The sequence below is a fragment of the Homo sapiens genome, chromosome 20 (assembly GCF_000001405.40).
Source record: "Homo sapiens chromosome 20, GRCh38.p14 Primary Assembly".
Classification (NCBI taxonomy): domain Eukaryota; kingdom Metazoa; phylum Chordata; class Mammalia; order Primates; family Hominidae; genus Homo; species Homo sapiens.
This window is the reverse complement of record NC_000020.11, coordinates 48,690,856-48,704,024: the sequence shown is the minus strand read 5'-3', so window position 1 is coordinate 48,704,024 and position 13,169 is coordinate 48,690,856. Positions and strand designations below refer to the sequence as shown.

Below are 13,169 nucleotides of genomic sequence, written 5' to 3'. Positions count from 1 at the left end.
GTGTAAGGTTTTGTCATCTCCAGCGTGGCTGAGTGTGCATGTCTGGAAGGAAGGAGGTCTCTAGTCCTGACTGGTCCACATGTCTTGGTGCTCAGCCTCTTCCCTGTGCATCCAACCCCTAGCACCACCCTTGACCTAGATTCAAGGATTTCAGGGAGATCAAGAGTGCGGCTGGGCTTCTCAGCAGGGCTGGGGTGGAGGGGGTATCCCCCTGTAGTGTGCTCGGCATTTCAGCTGCAGTTTGCCAGGTGGTGCTTGGCCAAGGCTGGAGAGGCAGCTTCCCAGGCTGGCGGACTTCCTCTCCTAGGTCCCCCGAGACGGACTTGGCAGCAGGGTTCTAGGGCTGTGTGATCTTGGGGCTTGGCAGCTGGGCCAGGTACCAGATTCTTCTTCAACTTCCCCTTTGGAGCCTGGAAGAGCTGGTGGGTGGGCATAAGGGAGCCAAGGCAAAAGGAAGGGGAGGCACGTGGGCTCCAGGGACTGCTGAACCGGTTGTCTGCCGTGTGCTGCGCATGGGCCATGATGAAGCCCCAGGGAGTTCGCGAGGATGCTGGGGGTCCCAGGGGCTCTTCCTCATGACAGCCCTGAGTCTTGGTGCGGCAGGCTGCTACCTCACTGGAAAGCTGAGATCTGCCTGTGGGCATGCCAGCATCCATGCCCACCTGGCCCCCAGCCAAGCCGAAGGCCGTGATGTGTGATAACGAATGCAGGCTCCTGTCCCGGCTGCACAGCTCTCGACCACAAGGAAGCTGCTTCCCCAGTCTCCAGAGGGGTCTCTGGCACTGTTGAGTGAATGGGTTTGTTGTACCCAACTGGACCACGGACACAGAGCAGACCAGCCCTAACAGCAGCGAGAGAGCCCCTTGTAGGCCGTTAGCAGACAGCCTGGCTTCTCAGCTGCCGGAACCAGTTCTCCTTACTGGGTCTCAGAAAGAATTCAGTCAGCAGGTCCCAGTGGGGTAGGAGCTCCATGTTGGTTCTGGGTGTTGACTGTTTGGGGAAGGAGATTTTGTGAATAATTCTCCCTCTCTCCTCCCCAAGTTCATTTCCAGGCAGGGACAACATCACTTCTTGTTTCTTTGTTCAGTGTAATCTGCTGGTCTGTCACGTGAAACTCCCTTAAAACACTGCTTTTGCATAATATTCCTTGGGCCTAAATGTCCGTGGCACCCTGTTGTCTGTACCTTATTGTATTAATTAAAGTCTGTGGTTGACTGCTGTAAGGAAGCGATGCAGCGGCCTCAGGGAGGTGGCTCATTAGCGTTGCAACGCTGTTCTCATTAGCAGTGCAGAGGCGGACAGTCAGACTGGGGTGGGCAGCTTTGCTCTGCCAGGACCCAGGTTCCCTCCAGCTCCTTGCCCCACCATCTGCTGCAGTGTATCCCACCACCCGCTGCAGTGTATCCCACCACCCCAGCCTCTGGAAAGAGGAAAGGGAGGAAAGCCATTTTCTTTCGAGGATGTGCCCTGGCAGGGAGGCACATTGGTGATGACTTAGTCATGTGACCACACCTGGCACAAGGGGGGCTGGGAGATGTAGTCTGTGGCTGGGCAGCCAAGTACCAGGGAAGACTCCATTCCCCAAAATCACAGAAGAGGGACGTGGATTGAGGGTCAGCGGAGGGGCTGCCTCATTTGGCATTCTGTGCCCACCAAGGTCTCTTTTCTTCTCTCTTTGGACTTTGGGATCTCTCTGCCCTTGCCTGGGTCCTCTTGGTTTCAGGGAGACCTGTGTGATCCCAGGCTCTAAGGATCCCTCCCAGCTAGGACCTTCCCATCCCTGCCCTCAGCCTCTTTATCTTTTTTTTTTTTTTTTTTAGACAGAGTCCTGCTCAGTCGCCCAGGCTGGAGTTCAGTGGCGTTATCTCAGCTCACTGCAACCTTTGCCTCCCGGGTTCAAGCGATTCTCTGCCTCAGCCTCCCGAGTAGCTGGGATTACAGGCATCTGCCATCATGCCTGGCTAATTTTTGTATTTTTGTAGAGATGGGGTTTCACCATGTTGCCAGGCTGGTCTTGAACTTCTGACCTCAGGTAATCCTCCTGCCTCAACCTCCCAAAGGATTACAGGCATGAACCACTGCGCCCGGCCAGCCTCTTTATCTTAATTTTTGTCTTCCAAGGTCTGCTCACTCCTCCCTGATGCCTTTCCCAGCCACGCTGCCCGGAACCTCACTGACATTCAGTGAACTTCATGCACGTCTTTGTCACCCCTTCCCCTGCTGCTCAACATAGGTGACCAGGTTTGGGATTGACGTGTAAATCTTTAGCTTAGCTAGATGAAATGCCCACAGGATCCTGCCCCCGATGGTTTGCACATTGCATTTGTTGAGCACCTACTGTGTGCCAGAGAGTGTTGTGGGTGCTGGGCATACGTAGGGCACATAGTTGATTCGGGCCCTGTCCTTACCAAAGGGGCATTTAGGTGGGGGAGATATAGTAACAAGTCAAGACATAAATAAGTAGTGGGGAAGGAATAGGTGAAAAAAAAACCCACAATAAAAACTGAACGAGGCCAGGCGTGGTGGCTCATGTCTGTAATCCCTACACTTTGGGAAGCTGAGGCGGTTGGATCACCTGAGGTCAGGAGTTCAAGACCAGCCTGACCAACGTGGTGAAACCCTGTCTCTTCTAAAAAAATACAAAATTAGCTGGGCATGGTGGCGCATGCCTGTAATCCCAGCTACTCGGGAGGCTGAGGCAGGAAGAATCCCTTGAACCCAAGCGGCGGAGGTTGCAGGGAGCCGAGATCGCGCCATTGCACTCCAGCCTGGGCAACGAGTGAAATTCCGTTTAAAAAAAATAAACCCAAAAACCAAAAACTGAACCAAAATATACCCAGATGTTGACTAGGACCTACTATTACCTGTATGAGCTGGGTGAGTCACTCCTCCCTGAGCCCCAAGTCCCTCTCCTGTAAAAGGGACATGCGGTCATATCAGTGTGCCCTCCCCAGGATTTTCATGGCATGCTCAGCAGATAGAAGCCACTAATCACGTTGTGTTGATTTTCTGTCCATTGACAGACTTGCTGGTGGAGTTTTTGGCATGTGGCAGGAGGTGGTAGTAGGTTCTGTCTCTGGGAAAGGAAGGGGATGTTCCTGGGTTGGCTCATTCACTGTGTCCTCATTGCGCTTCCAGGGTTCCAACCTCACAGACATCTGCACTCAGCTCCTCCTGCAAGGGACTTTGTTAAAGATCTCTGCGGGCAACATCCAGGAAAGGGCCTTCTTCCTCTTCGACAACCTTCTCGTCTACTGCAAGCGGAAATCCAGGTGAGTGGCCAGGAGGCTGGGATGGGGTCTGGCCTGCTGCCTTCTCCAGGTGATGCCTTGGGCTTGTCACTTCCCTCTCTGGGCCTCCCTTTCCTGTGAGTTGAGGGGTTTGTTCTACATCAGTGCTGTCTAGTAGGAATACAATGCAAGCCACGTGTTATGTTAAATGTTCTAGTAGCCACATTTAAAAAAGTAAAAAGAAACAGGTAAAATGAATTTAAATAATATATTTTAGTTAACCTAATAGATCCCCAAATATGAGAATATTTTATTCAATTATAATTATACATGTAATTATTATTTAAAAAAATTATTAAAGAGATATTTTGTGTTGTTTTTTAACACTAAGTTCTCAAAATCTGGTGTGTATGTTATACTCACAAAACACCTAAATTTGTCGTGGGTACGTTTGGAGTGCCCAGTAGCTACCTGTGGCTCGTGGCTACCATATTGGATAGCACAGGTCTAGATGACTGTGGAAACTGAGAGGTTCTTTGTGACACCCACATCCTGTAATTCTAAGCTCTAAAAGTTGAGGGTTCAAGAGGAGCGAAGCTCTTTCACTATTCAGTTTTTGGAGGGTCAGGATAGTTTCTTCACCTTCTTTGTGTCTTTCACTGGTGCTTCTTGCGCTCTGTAGAGTCTAGGAGTAAGTAGATGGTTGGCTGAGTAGGTAGATGGAGGCAGGTGCATGTGTGATGGGAAGTGTGGTGACGGGTTGTGTGGGCACACGGGATGAGGCGCAGATGGCTGGGGGTTTGGGAGGTGAATGGATGGTAGAAGGAGGCAGGGAGGGAAGGAAGGAATGTGGACGGATGTTGGAATTGACGTGTGTGTGAGTGAATGAGTGTTTGAATGCTTGGAGGTTTAGGAGATGGCTGGATGGAGGAATAGATGGAAAGCTGGGGGCATGTGTGGATATTCAGGCAGTTAGAGAAATGGATATGAAGACTGGCAGATATGTGTCTAGATGAATGGTAGATTGGGGCCTTCAGGTATGGTGTGTTGAGTGAATGGATAGATGGATGGAAGGCTGGGTGGTTATATAATTGGGAAGGTGGGTTGGTGACGGAGGTTTGGAGATTAGTAGATGGATGGCCAATTGGTTGGCATGTTGATGGATGGGTAAGTGGTTGGTTGATAGTTGCCGAAGTGGTTGGGCTCTGGGAGGGAAAGTGGGACAGTTGGACTACTGAGTGAATGGATGGGTGAATGATTGGAGAGAGGGGAAATTAGGAGATGGATGTGGGGGTTGGATGACTGTAGTAGCTGGTGGGAACTGATGGTTGGATGCATGGGTGGGTGGGTGGATTGGCACAGAGAGATTCCTGACCTTAAGTTTTCATGTTCAGCAGGTATAGGATGGTCTCAGCTGACCCCTGCAGCACTTTTCAAATTCTCTTTGCTGTTACTTTGTCTTAGGAACAAAATAGTGATGTTCCAGAGGCTTCTTAACTCCTCTGTCTAGCAAAGACTAGAGCTGAGGCCTGAGGTCCAGGTCTTAGGCCCTACTTTCAGCATTTTCCTGTAACTTGCTTTGTGTCCTAGGCCATGCCACTGACCGTCTCTGAGCCTCAGTTTCCTTGTCTGTCTGTGCTGGCCTCCTAAGGTGTGGTGAGAAACCTTACCACTGGATGAGTAATGGATGCTCCATGCCCGTGTGTGGGCTTCCCACTGTCCTCCTCCTCTAGAGGGCCTCCCTGAGCCTTTGTTTTCTCTTCTGTAAAGTGAGACGATCAGCCCCTCCTTGTAGTAGTGTTTGGTTAAGAGCTAGGCCCGCCATTGGATCCCCGTTTAACCTCTTTTGTAGCTCTGTGACTTTGCCTCTCTGTGCCTCAGTTTCCTCATCCGTAAAACAGAGTGAATGATCGTATGTACCTCTTAGGACCACGGAAGATCAGATATGTGAGTGTGCCTGGGACATAGTGAGTGCACAGCACAGTAGCTGCCAGCACCATTGTTGTTAACTTGGCTCTGGTGTGGTCGCACAGGTACAGCACCTGGTGCACAGGAGGCTCTGAAACCACAGGCCCTTCCCCATTGCCCTTTCCCCCCTGTTCTGGGCTTGACCCTTCCTGTGAGGGCCTGGACCTCCTGCTTCCGCTATCTCCCAGTGGCTGGCTCAGCATGGCTCTTTCTCATTTGCTCCTTCATTCTCGCCCACTCCTTGAGGTCTGTCTATCTCACGTCCTGCTGTCCCCTCATGAACGCCCCCTTCTTCTCTTTCCCTGCCTCCTTTCTGGTCTCTCTGGGGCTGTCCTCAGAGTCCTTCTTGGGTAGTTTCAGGGCTGCTGCCAATGTCCACCCTGAGCCCTGCCCCGCCGCTCTGCCCCAAGCAGTCTGGAGCAGGCACTTTTCCCAGAACACTGGGGTTTGGAAAACAGAACGTCCCTTTAGGCCTCTGTGACCTGCTCCCAACTTTTAGATGAGTTTACTCAACCTTTGGCTTCCGGGTGCAGGCTCTGCCTCCTCTGGGGCCGTCTCACCTGTGCAGGGACAGCAGCTGATTCTGATACTGGATTCCAAGTGGGCTCCCTGGGGCCTTCCTTGTGGGCACCCTGAGCTCTTTCAAGGCCATTCCCCACCTCACTTCCACAAGTGAGCTGGGCTGGCTGCAGGGAAAGGGCGCATGTGTCTCTTGAGAGAAGCTGGCAGGCGGCCAGCATTCCTGCCTCTGGATGGAGAGCCAGAGGGCTGAGCTCTGAGAGGCCCAGGAGATTGGGCAATGGTGGGTGGATCTCCCCACCTGAGTCTGATGTGGGTGCAGGCAATGCCTGGAGTGACTTGGTGACTGCTGACTGTGTTTGTCCTTGCCTGGGTCATGCAGGGCACCACCCATCCAGGATATGGGTCAGGGGAGGTCTCTGACTCACAGTGCTTCTGGGCGAATTCAAAAGCAGAGGCTCCTTGGGTGTCAGAAGTGGAAAACGGGAGGGAGTGTTTTAAAAACCCACCTCCCATCCTCCAGAAGGGGAAACCAGGACCCAGAAGAGCAAAGTCTCATGCATCTCAACTACCTGCTTAGCATCTTAGAGGCAGCAGTAGTGTGTCGCCATTAAGAACACAGAGGGCCGGGCGCAGTAGCTCACGCCTGTAATCCCAGCACTTTGGGAGACCGAGGAGGGTGGATCATGAGGTCAGAAGATCGAGGCCATCCTGGCTAACACAGTGAAACCCCCCCATCTCTACTAAAAATATAAAAAAATTAGCCAGGTGTGGTGGCACACGCTTGTAATCCCAGCTACTCGGGAGGCTGAGGCAGGAGAATCACTTGAACCCAGGAGGCGGAGGTTGCAGTGAGCTGAGGTGGCACCGCTGCACTCCAGCCTGGGGGACAGAGCGAGACTCTGTCTCAAAAAAAAAAAAAAGAAAAGAAAAAAAGAACACAGAGGCTCTGCTTACTATCTGTGCTACCTTGAGCAAATTATGTCAGCTGTTTGCGCCTGTCTTTTCCTACCTGTTATATGGGGATAAAAGTAGTCCTCATTTCATGGGGTTGTTTTTATAGAGTAAAACATGTAAAGGTACACATGTAATGTGGTTAGAATAAGGCCTGGTGCGTGGTCAAGTGGAAGAAATACAAATACATATATCTTTATTTGGGTGTCTCACACATAGCCCACACTTAAATTGTGTCTAAAGGGGCTCTTGTTTTTTGTCTTAACTTCTGCCCCTTGGATCTTCCTCATTACCAGTAAATGGTACCAAAATTTGTATTAAGTCAAGATTCTCCAGATAGACCCAATAGGGTGTGTGTGTGTGTGTGTGTGTGTGTAAAGAGATTTATAATAAGCAGTTGACTCGTGATTATGGAGGCTGACAAGTCCCAAGATCTGTCGTCTGCAAGCTGAAGACAAGCCAATAGTGTCGTTCTGATCCTAGGATTGGCAGGCTCAGGAAGAGCTGATATCTGCTTGAGTCTGGAGGCAGGAGAAGAAATTTGCCCAGGAGCCGAAGCCAGAATCTTCTTGATTTTGAGCTATCATTATCCCCATACCAACTACATCAGCAAGTCCTTTCCATCCTGTCATCAAACTTTGCCCAGAACCTCAGTGCAATTCCAATAAATACTCTAGGAGGGGGTTTGTGTACGTGTGTACGTGTGTATGTGTGTATGTATGTATGTATGTATGTATGTATGTATGTGTGTGTGTGTAAATGATCAGCTGACTGTAAAATTTACAGGAAAATCCAGAGATAGAAATAGCTAAGACAATTATGAAGAAGGTCAAGCTAGGGGACCGTTATTACTGGATTCCAAGTCCTGCTGTAAGGTCGTAGTAATTAAGACAGTGTGGTATTGGTATGAAAACAGACACGTAGAGTAATGGAATCGAATAGTGAGTTTAGGAGTAGACCCACATGTAAGCAGTCATTTGAATTTCAACAAAAACACCAATGCAGTACAATAAATGGTGCTTGGTCAGTTTGATATCCAGTGGGGGAAAAAGTGATTCTTGACCCTTATCTCATACCAAACACAAAAATCAACTTCAGCTGGATTATAGATTTAAATGTAAACGGTAGAACAATAACACTTCTACAAGAAAGCATGGGAGAATATCTTCATGATTTAGGAGTAAGCAAATATCTTAAACAGGACAAAGAGTATAGTTATAAAGGAGAACTAAATTCATTAGACTATACTGTAATTAAGAATTTCATTAAAAAATACTGTAAGGAGAGTGAAAAGACAAGCCACAGACTGTGAAAAGGTCTTTACAGTTTGTATAATGGCCAGAGTATTCACATCCAGAATATATGAAGAGGCCCTTCTGTAGCCAGACTTGGCCCTGTGCCTATTTTTGTCAATAAAGTTTTATTGGAACACTGCTATGCCCATTTGTTTGTATACAGTCTTAGCTGCTTTGATGCCATAAGGGCAGAGTTGAATAGTTTGTAACAGAGACCATATGGCCTACAAAACTGAAAATGTGTACTATTTGGCCCTTTTCAGAAAAAAAATTGCCAACCTCTGCTATAAGTAATTAAGAAAAAGACAGACAGTTCAACAAAAAGTGACAAGGGACAGTCATTTCACAAAAGAAGGCACCAGATCGCCAATAAACATACAGTGGTTGAGGTTATTTACTCATCAGGGAACTACAAATTAAATATTAATGAGCTCCTACTGTACACATACCATAATGGCCAAAATGAGACATAAAATACCAGTTATAGAGGATGTGGGACAACTGGAATGTTCCTACACTGTTGGGCATGGGAAAATCAGTACAACTATTTTGGAAAACAGCTTGGCAGTATCTCCTAAAGCTAATCATTCACATTCCTTATCACTCAGTAATTCAGCTCCTCAGGTATCTAACCCAAAGAAATGCACACACATGTTCTTTGTCAGGCACGTGCAGGAATGTCACAGCAGCACCACACTGGAAGGAAGCCAGATGTCTGGCCATGTCACTATACCCAGCAGCACGGGTAACTCACAGCCATGAGGTTGGGTGAAGGAAGCTGGACACAAAAGTACACACTTGTGATTCCATTTGTGTAAAGTTCAAAAACAGGCAAAGCAAATCTATGGGGTTAGACTCAGGACAGTGGTTACCCTTGTCAGGGGAAGAGGGCAGTGATGGGAAAGGGGCATAAGGGGGTGCCTGTGGGGAGCTAAACATGTTGATACAGGTGTGTTCACTTGCAAAAGTTAATTGAGCCATATTAATGCTTCTTTGGGCATTTTTTTTCTGTGTGGATTTTATACTTTAATACAAAGTTTACAAAAATATGTATATGCACATATGTATGTATATGTTTATATGTGTGTGTATACACACACAAACACACACATACACACCCTCATCCTTTCTCATCTTGTTGATTGCAGTGGTCTCCCCTCTGGTTCTAGTCCCTTCTCCACCGGCAGACACAGGGAGTCTCTTGAAACTGAAGTCCATCCCATTCTGCCTGTGCTCCAACCCTCCGTGGCTCCCATCTCACACACAGCAGAAGCCCACATCTTCACCACTTACAACTTAATTTTCAGAGAGATAAGTCTCTTCCACGTTCCTGAATCCTCAGCCTATCTCCTATTTCATTTACCCACTTACAGTAACAAGTACACATCAGCCAAGTCGGCGTGGGAACAAACCCACTGGCTCTTGGTGAGCATACAGCCCACCTGCTGGAGCAGAGGCCTGTGCACACCACCAAGTGGCCTTTGAGCTCTGGGAGTTCATTTTCTGCCGTATCTTCACCAGAGCGTTTAGTACCTCTGACCTGATGTATGGTTTACCTTGCTTAGGGACTGTCTCTGTGCCCTGCCTCCAACCCCATGTTAGAAGTTGAGTTCCCAGAGATGTTTTGTTCAGCAGTGCAACCCCAGTACCTAAAACAGTGCCTGGCACATAGTAGGCGTTCTCCACATGCTTGTTGGATCCACAGATGAGTGACTTCCCGTGGCTCCTGACTTGGTATCCTCCTCATAGGAAGCTCTGGCCAGATGTTTGTTGAGTGACTGTTTTAGTCCCTTCAGGCTGCTATAACAAAATACCAGAAACTGGGGTTTTTAAACAACAGAAATTCGGGCTGGGCGTGGTGGCTCATACCTGTAATCCCAAGACTTTGGGAGGCCGAGGGGGGTGGATAACTTGAGGTCAGGAGTTCGAGACCAGCCTGGCCAACATGGTGAAACCCTGTCTCTACTAAAAATACAAAAATTACCCGGCCATGGTGGCACATGCGTGTAGTCCCAGCTACTTGAGAGGCTGAGGCAGGAGAATCGCTTGAACCTGGGAGGTGGAGGTTGCAGTGGGATGAGATTGTGCCACTGTACTCCAGCCTGGGTGACAGAATGAGACTCTATCTCAAAAAAATAAATAAATAAAATAAGGCCGGCACGGTGGCTCACACCTGTAATCTCAGCACTTTGGGAGGCCAAGGCAGGCAGATCATGAGGTCAGGAGATTGAGACCATCCTGGCTAACACAGTGAAACCCTGTCTGTACTAAAAATATAAAAAAATTAGCTGGGCGTGGTGAGACATGCCTGTAGTCCCAGTTACTCGGGAGGCTGAGGCAGGAGAATCGCTTGTAACCCAGCAGGCGGAGGTTGCAGTGAGCTGAGATCATGCCACTGCACTCCAGCCTGGGCGACAGAGTGAGACTCCATCTCAAAAAAATAAAATAAATTAATAAAATAAAATAAGTAAACAACAGAAATGTATTTTGTACAGTTCTGGAGGCTGTGGACTCCAAGATGAAAGGTGCTAGTAGACTCGGTGCTGGCGAGGGCCTGCTTTCTGCTTCATAGATGGTGCCGTCTTGCTGTGTCCTCCCGTGGTGGAAGAGGCGAGCCAGCTCTCTGGGGCCTCTTTTATAAGGGCCTAATCTCATTCATGAGGTCCTTTTCCCCCTGACTTCTTCATCTCTCAAAGGCCCTACCTCCTAATACCATTACCTTGGGGGTTAGGATATAACATGAATTTTGGAGGGACACCAACATTTAGACTATAGGAGTGGGTGAATGATAGAATTCACTCGAGTGAATGATTGAACCCTGGGAAGGTGGATGATGGATGGATGGATGGATGGATGGATGGATGGATGGACGGACTGCCAGTTCCAAGCCCTCCTTCCATTCTGGTCGTATTTCAGGAAGTTCCTGTCTTTGAGAAACTTAACAGGTCTTTCCTCATTTTCTAGCCAAGAAGAATGGGTTTCTGTTACCTCCTGTTGGTCTCCCATGTCTCCTTTTAGCTGAAAAGTAGCTTTGTGGGGTCAGCAAGGCTATTAGCCTGTTTTCCAGATGAGAAAGCTGTGGCTGGAAGAGAAGTGACTTGTTCAAGTTACCCCAGCACCAGCCAAACACTCCTGCTCCTGACCCCTACCTGGGGCTCCTCTCTGTCCCCTGGATGCCCCTCAGTGTTGTGTTCCCCTTTGCGCTGTTGAAAACAGTTGCATCTGGGAGGTGACGTGTAGGGGACACTGACTTCTCACTGTCTATCAGGGTCACCGGGAGCAAGAAGTCCACCAAGAGGACCAAATCCATCAACGGCTCCCTCTACATCTTCAGGGGTCGAATCAACACTGAAGTCATGGAGGTGGAGAATGTGGAAGATGGGACAGGTAGCCCCTCCCCCAGCCTTGCCTGAGCCCTGCCTGAGCCCTGCCTGCTCCCTGGCACTCTCTCTGTTTCATTTAAATATATTTTTTTCTTTTATCATGAGATGTAATCTACCTACAGAAAAGTGCCCAGAGCATAGATGCATGAAGCGAACATCTGGGTGGTTAGCATTCAAGTTAAGAAATAAAACACTGCACCCCAAATCCTTCCTCCTTGCAATGCCTTCTTCCCCCTAGAAGTAACCACTGTCTGAATTTTGTGATGATCATTTTCTTGCTTTTTAAAGACATTTTTACCTCCTAAGCATTTATGACTAAACATTTTAATTAAAATTTCTATTTTTGAGCCTTATGTAAGTGGTTACATGATTACATATGTTTAAGTGGCTTTACATATATGTAATTATATATGTGCATGTATATACAGCCCACCTGGTCATATAATGGTCATGACCATTTTACTTAAATGGTCATAAAATATGGTCGGCTGGGTGTGGTGGCTCATGCCTGTAATCCTAGCACTTTGAGAGGTTGAGATGGGCAGACCGCTTGAGCCCAGGAATTTGAGACCAGCCTGGGCAACATGGAGAAAACCTGTCTCTACAAAAAATACAAAAACTAGCTGGACATGGTGGCGTGCAACTGTGGTCCCAGCTACTGTGGAGGCTGAGGTGGGAGGATCATCTTAGCCCAGGAGTTCGATGCTGCAGTGAGCCATGATTTCACCAGTGCACTCCAGCCTGGGTGACAGAGCGACACCTAGTCTCCCCGCCCAGAAAATATGGTCTACATTTTTTTTTAAACAAACTGCTTTCACTCAACACCACGTTAGTGGGGTTCATCCATGTCTCTGCATGTAGCTGTTTGCAGCCTGTTGGTTTCCATTGCTGCAGAGTGTTCCGTCACGTGAACATTTCACACTTCATCCATTCTTTGGGTGATGGATGTTTGGCCTGTTGCCACCACTCACAGTCATGCAGTCACTGATGGCTCATGTGAGCATCTCCTAGTATGTGTGCTTTTGAGCTTGTCCAGAGCAGGGGTTCTTGCTTGGTTTTGAGCCACAGTCCCCTTTGGCAGTCTCATGAAGCCCGTGGAGCCCTCCTCAGATTCAGGCTTTCGCTTCCCTAGATCATGCCAATCTGTTTGAGAGGTTTTCCAGGTCCCATCCCAGCCAGCACTGGGTAAGGGTCCCACGTTTGACTTGGCTTGTCAGGCTGGCACTAAGGTTTTAAGTAACTCCAGTGCCCGAGTGAGATGGGAGGAGCCCAGGAAGCATTTTGGGGCTCCAAGCAAGTGTCTCCCCATGAGTCACTGCTGTGTTTGTGCCTAGATGCAAGGTCTTAAAATGAAGCCCCCTGTCATTGAGTGGTTGAGAGGGGTCTTTGTTTGCAGAAGGTCTTCCTTGCCCACTGGAAAAGGATAAGAAGTGAGCGTTTGAAGGGCTGGAAGTCCAGCTCCCCATCCTGATCCAGGCGAGGGCCCTGCCTGTGCTGGGGCGGAAGGGCTTGGCAATGGGGAGTGTTGAAGGTCACGCGGCTGAGTCTCTGCTGCACCTTTGCCTCCTGCCCCCACCAGCGGATTACCATAGCAACGGCTATACCGTCACCAACGGCTGGAAGATCCACAACACGGCCAAGAATAAGTGGTTTGTCTGCATGGCCAAGACGGCAGAGGAGAAGCAGAAGTGGCTGGATGCCATCATCCGCGAGCGGGAGCAGCGCGAGAGTGAGCAGCAGCTTTGGGGTGCTCGCCTGGGATCCCTGAGCTATGCGTGGCTTCTTCTGAGTGGGGGCTGTGTCTAGGGAAGGGGCATAGG

General features: G+C 48.9%; 1 protein-coding gene across 5 annotated transcripts in view, besides 4 other annotated features; it reads left to right on the top strand.

Moving 5' to 3' along the window:
* PREX1 (phosphatidylinositol-3,4,5-trisphosphate dependent Rac exchange factor 1) overlaps positions 1-13,169 on the top strand; it is a 263,934-nt gene that overhangs the window by 184,161 nt on the left and 66,604 nt on the right. For 4 of the 5 annotated variants that reach the window (XM_047440333.1, NM_020820.4, XM_047440332.1 and 1 more), the window contains 3 exons: positions 3,139-3,272; positions 11,235-11,353; positions 12,929-13,078. In XM_047440333.1, coding sequence (XP_047296289.1) covers positions 3,139-3,272; positions 11,235-11,353; positions 12,929-13,078 — 403 coding nt within the window. Of the gene's footprint in view, positions 1-3,138; positions 3,273-11,234; positions 11,354-12,928; positions 13,079-13,169 lie in introns of those variants that run through there. The other variant, XM_011528934.2, reaches the window with a different exon arrangement.
* Positions 449-949: an enhancer, noted in NCBI's record as "H3K4me1 hESC enhancer chr20:47319614-47320114 (GRCh37/hg19 assembly coordinates)". NCBI's record gives its function as "activates a minimal SCP1, AML or CMV promoter by ChIP-STARR-seq in primed H9 embryonic stem cells {active_cell/tissue: H9 hESC(primed)}" and the evidence as "EXISTENCE:reporter gene assay evidence [ECO:0000049][PMID:30033119]".
* Positions 5,962-6,131: an enhancer, noted in NCBI's record as "experimental_60600 CRE fragment used in MPRA reporter constructs". NCBI's record gives its function as "activates a minimal promoter by MPRAs in K562 erythroleukemia cells, with activity observed for both the introgressed and non-introgressed 20:47314517 variant alleles {active_cell/tissue: K562}" and the evidence as "EXISTENCE:reporter gene assay evidence [ECO:0000049][PMID:34662402]".
* Positions 9,116-9,285: an enhancer, noted in NCBI's record as "experimental_60598 CRE fragment used in MPRA reporter constructs". NCBI's record gives its function as "activates a minimal promoter by MPRAs in K562 erythroleukemia cells, with activity observed for the non-introgressed 20:47311363 variant allele {active_cell/tissue: K562}" and the evidence as "EXISTENCE:reporter gene assay evidence [ECO:0000049][PMID:34662402]".
* Positions 9,444-9,944: an enhancer, noted in NCBI's record as "H3K27ac hESC enhancer chr20:47310619-47311119 (GRCh37/hg19 assembly coordinates)". NCBI's record gives its function as "activates a minimal SCP1, AML or CMV promoter by ChIP-STARR-seq in primed H9 embryonic stem cells {active_cell/tissue: H9 hESC(primed)}" and the evidence as "EXISTENCE:reporter gene assay evidence [ECO:0000049][PMID:30033119]".